Source organism: Homo sapiens, chromosome 11 (genome assembly GCF_000001405.40).
Source record: "Homo sapiens chromosome 11, GRCh38.p14 Primary Assembly".
Classification (NCBI taxonomy): Eukaryota; Metazoa; Chordata; class Mammalia; order Primates; family Hominidae; genus Homo; species Homo sapiens.
The window spans coordinates 120,072,505-120,078,112 of NC_000011.10; positions in this window are offsets into that span (position 1 = coordinate 120,072,505).

Consider the following 5,608-nt stretch of genomic DNA (forward strand, 5'->3'; position numbering starts at 1 on the left):
GAGAGAGAGGCAGCAGAGGGACACCGAGGCTGAGACCAGCCTGCTCCAATGAGGCATTGAGACTGTCCTCTCCAGAACACTGGCAAGAGCTCTGAAAGTCCCAGGCCCTGGTCACCACGTTTTCTCCTAAGAAGCCCCCTCCTCCAGGGAGTTAGAATCAGGCAAGAACAGGAGAAGAGCCCCTTCTAGGTGAATTCCAAATCACAGAACACCTTTGCATCAATTTTTTTGGAGACCGAGAAGGCCAAATGCCTGAATGTCTTTGTTTCTGGCTATGGGTGCTGAGAAGGGTCCAGGAACTTTTCACCATTGGCATCATTAGCAGCAGCAGGGTGATGTTTATTCATTCAACAAACACAAATATCTGCTGAGGGCCTGCTATGTGCCAGGCACTATTGTAGGCACTGGACAATTGGCAGTGACAAAACAGACAAACCCCTGCCTTCGTAGAACTCGATTCAAATGGCAAAGACAGACAATAAACAAACAAACAGTGAAATATGGGAGTGGAAAGTGCCACAAGGGAAACTAAGTCAGGGTAAGAAGGCAAGGCCGTTGGAGGGGCTGTTTTGATAGGGGGGTCAGGGAGGTCTCCCAGGGGAGGGGACACAGGACCCAAGTACCCCATTTCCTACCTCCCTCACTTAGGGTGTTCAGGCAGCCTGGGATCCAAGATCACGGGCCCTGATCTGAGCCCCCGTCACAAGGGGTGATGAGCAAAACAGCGCGTCTGTGAACCCCGGGGCCTGATTGTCCCTGGAGTTCAGAGGCACATCTGCGTGAACGCAGGAAAAGGGAAGAGACCGGCCACTTCCTTCAGGGATATAGCGAGCACAAGAGTAAAGGGCATAAGGTAGGCACACAGGAGCCAAGGAACAAATGCCAATTAATATGATGCAAACTGGCCATCTGTCAGGCCGGCTGCAAGGGACAGCTGCATGCGGGGAGGGGCGGGCACCCGTCTCTGCGGTGATTCTGTGGTCAAGTGAAACCTGAACGTCACAGGCTTCTGCAACTGGAAAGTAAAATGGTGGTTCCGTTAACTTTAATGCCTAAATCTCGATGCCCTAAGCCCTCAGCTGTGTAGTGGTGGAAAGTCCAGGCCTTTTTTCTTTTTTCTTTTTGAGACAGGGTCTCACTCTGTTGCCCAGGCTGGAGTGTAGTGGTGCCATCATGGCTCACAGTATCTTTCAACTTCTGGGCTCGAAGTGATCTTCCCACCTCAGTCTCCCAAGTAGCTGGGACCACAGGCTTGCAGCACCATGCCCATCTAATTTTATTTTATTTTAGGTTTTGTAGAGATGGGGGTCTCCCTATGTTGCCCAGGCTCATCTCAAACTCCTGGGCTCAAGCAATCCTCCCGCCTCGGCCCAAATTATTGCGATTATAGGCAATGAGCCACTGCGTCCAGCCTAAAGTCCAGGGTTTTAGGGAGTCACTGCTCCCATATATCCCTGAGACTTCAGGGAAGTCCCATGCTTGCACAGACCCACCCTGGCTTTGCTCTCTCCTCCCACCACCAAAGTCCCAGGCCCAAGGCATCACTTCTTGGACTCTATTCTATTGCTAGTATCTTGCCACCACCAAGCCCATCACCACAGTAGTGAAGTCCAAAGTTAGTGGACAGAAGGGCTCCCTAGATTTTGCCACCACTGAGAAAGCTGCAACTCAGGATGTCATTCTTGCTAAGTGAGAGGGGAAATGCTCACAGCACAGAGAGCAACACTAGGTTGGCACCTAAAATGTTATCCAGCTAGCCATGCAGCTGTTCCACAGAGCTCTTCGGTTTGCCAAGCTGGGCCCACCTGCTCCCCTGCACTTTAGTAGGGAGGCCTCCACCAAGACTCCCATCCCTGGTGGCCATGAAAGAGCTTCAAAACCCAGGAAAGGAGCTGCTCCAATGACCCATCCCCTTGGTCCCTTGCTTCTACCCCAAGCATAGCTGCGGACTCCGCCTCAGCAGGGATCTCTGCCGATTCATCTAGCAACTCTGATTTTGTGAACAAGGAGGGTGTTTCTTCTCACTCAGTCAGGGATGTCACGCAGCAAGGATTTCTGAACAGCGTCATGTTACAGATGGGAATGCAGAGACCCCTTTCCCACAAACACATACATGCCACCAAGGGGCTGGGTCAGGAAGAGGCGAAGTATCCACACTCCCCTATGAAGGGCGGGACCAGGGACTGGGTCTGGCTTGCCCACTCAGGCGAGTTCTCGGTGAGTGCCCTGTCACTCTCCGTGTTATCTGCTCCCCAACTCCCCATCCATCAGGCATGTTTGTGTCCGTGCCCTATAGACAAGGCTTGACTTTTCATCCCAGGAGCTCCCTGGTCGCTGTGTAAATGAGTGCATGCGTGTTGAGAGAGGTGCTGCCTAACAACTCCAATTGTCAGAAATGCCCAAACCCCAAATGGGAGGCATGAGGACAGAGGCCCAGCTTATGTCCGGTCAAGACGCTCAAAATGTCCAGTTGCACAGAATGTGCAATTAGCAAGGCCAAGGCTTCTACAGTGAGTGTTATCATCTTGAAAAATAAAATGTCTTTACAGGAGGTTGTTTGAATGCACCCTGTATATACACTCAGTGGAGTACTATACAACCTTAAAAAAGAGGAAATCACTATGAACGGATATGAAGTGGTTTTCAGATGCTATTGAGAAAAAAAAAACAAAGTATAAAAGAACATATATGGTATGCCACCTTTTGTGTAAGAAATAAGGGGAAATAAGAAAATGTACATATACATGTTTTTCATACAAAAAGAAACACAGGAAGGATGAGCCAGACAATAATGAAGTTGGGTGCATACAAGGAGTAGGAAGGAATGGGGTGGAAGGGGTATGGGAGGAAGTAACACTTCTCTGAATATACCTATTTTTAAGAGCTTTTACTTTTGAAAGCATACCAATATTCAAAAAAATTAAAAGAATAGGAAAGGGGAAAAGACTGAAAGCAAAGTGAAACATATGAATCTAATTGTATTATTATTATTTTTTTGAGACAGCTTTTCACTCCTATCACCCAGGCTGGAGTGCAGTGGTGTGATCACAGCTCACTGCAGCCTCAACCTCCCAGGCTCAGGTGATTTTCCCACCTCTGCCTCCCAAGAAGCTGGGATAACAGGTGCGCACCACCATACCCAGCTAATTTTTTATATTTTTAGTAGAAACAGGGTTTTTATATTTTTAGTAGAAACAAGTTTCTATATTTTTAACAGAAACAGGGTTTTCCATATTGCCCAGGCATCTTGAACTTCTAGCCTCAAGCAATCCTCCTGCCTTGGCCTCCCAAAGTGCTAGGATTATAGGCATGAGCCACCACGCCTGGCCCTTAATTATATTTCAAGTGTGAATTATAACCACATTGAAGGTGGGAGAAGAAAGAAATAACGAATCCAAGTAACTCATGAACATAGTATTTAACCATGTACCCTCAGGCTGGGTAAGAAAGAGTGGGTGTGTGTTGGGGTGGGGAGGAGGGGAGGTGGTAGGGAAAGAAGTGGGAACAAATCCTGAACTCTTTATAGTAGATTCATTGATTGTAGTGGAAGGAACTACAGGGCTCTCGCTGAGGAAGAAAGGATATGCAAACATGGAATGGAGAAAGGTAAGAAGAACCCTGTGGGAATGAACTTGAATTGAAAATATTGGTGTGAACTCACAATTTCTAAAATATGTGTGTATGTATGAATGTTTTTATATCTGAAGATATCTGTATCTTCATGCTTACATGTCTCTAGCTCTGACCACGGAAAGGGCCAAGAAGCAAAGATGCTCTGCCAGCAATGAGCACATCTAGTGCCCAGATCTTGGTCTCCAATACCATTTCCCACTAAAAGGAACCAGGACTCCACAAAGAAGTGGCTGATTCCAGGACTGGTGCAGAATAGGTACATGACAAGCCTGAAACATCTTCCTATGCCAGAGAGTAAGGAAATGCTCCAAAAATAATAAAGGATGGGGTGTGTCACAGAATAGGGAGGCCATCTAAAGGGGCTCCTGCTGGCCCAACCTGGAACAGTTTGAGCACCAAAATAACTATAAAAATAGATAATAAATCATTGAAAAGACAGAAACTTATGAATCCATACCAATAATAGATATATATTTAGACTAGATAGGTGATTAGATAGATAGATAGATAGATAGATAGATAGATAGATAGATAAGATAGATAGATGATAAATAGGTAAGACATAGGTAGCTAGATAGCCAGATGGATAGAGAGATAGAAAAAAAAGAAAGAAAGAAAGAAAGAAAGAGAGAAAGAAGAAAAGAAAAGAGAAAATAAAGAGAAAAAAGAAGGGAAAGCTCTTGGTTGCAGTAGAATTCTGAGGTCCAACTAGTAAAAGTAGAGAGAATGCCGGAGTTGGGAGGTTAGCACAACCCCAGATTAAACATGAAGAAACAGTAGATGAACGCAAAAATGGAGGCACTGTATTCTTTACAAATATCAGCATTGCACAGGGCAAAGAAAGGCTGTGGGATGTTTCAGATTAAAGGAGGCTAAAAAGACATGAAGACCAAATGCAATATCTGACCCCTTAGACTGGATCCTGCACTGGAAGGGAGAATGCTATAAAGAGTACTATTAGACCAAGCAAAAAATTTGTAATACGGGTGATGGATTAGATAAGAGTATTTGTAACAATGTAAATGTATACAACCGTTAACTATACTGTGGCATATAATAATCTTATTCTTAGGAAAAACACACTGTTAAGTATTCAGGGGTAAAGAGCCATAATATACATAATATAAAAATGGTTCAGGAAAAAATTATGTATAAACATACATATATAACCACATGTCCATATAGTATATATACATGAGACAGAGAATAAGAATAAATAATACATGGGTTAAACTACAAACAATAAGTAAATCTGGATAAAATGAATATGAATATTCTTTGTACCATTTCTCATTTTGTAACTTTTTGTAAACTTGAAATTATTTCCAAACATAATGCTTTAAAATGCTTTAACGTGCCTCACACTTAACTGATTTCTGGCATGGTCATATACACTGGTAATTTTGATCCTCCCAGGAGCTCCATGAGATAAGCAGGGCAGGCATTGTTATATTTCCAACTGTACAGATGAGGAAGTTAAGGCACAGAGATGTTGAGTGACTTGCCAAGGATGACGTCCTGGAAAACACAGCTTGAACCTTCATCTCCAGGTGCAAGTCTTGGCTTCGTCCCATGATATCCACATTCTCCAAATCTTTTCAGAATCCATTGCAATTCCTGCTAGTCATCTCTCCAGGAGGTCATGAACTCCGTAATTTTACTATACACACACACACACACACACACACACACACACACACACACAGAAAGAGAGAGAAACGGAATCTCATTCTTTCACCCAGGCTGGAGTGCAGTGGCACGATCTTGGCTCACTGCCAACCTCCACCACCCAGGTTCAAGTGATTCTCTTGCCTCAGCCTTCTGAGTAGCTGGGACCACAGGTGTGTGCCACCACGTCCAGCTATTTTTTTCTTTTTTGGTATTTTTAGGATAGACGGGGTTTCACCATGTTGGCCAGGTTGTTCTCAAACTCCTGACCTCAGGTGATCTGCCCACCTCAGCATCCCAAAGTGCT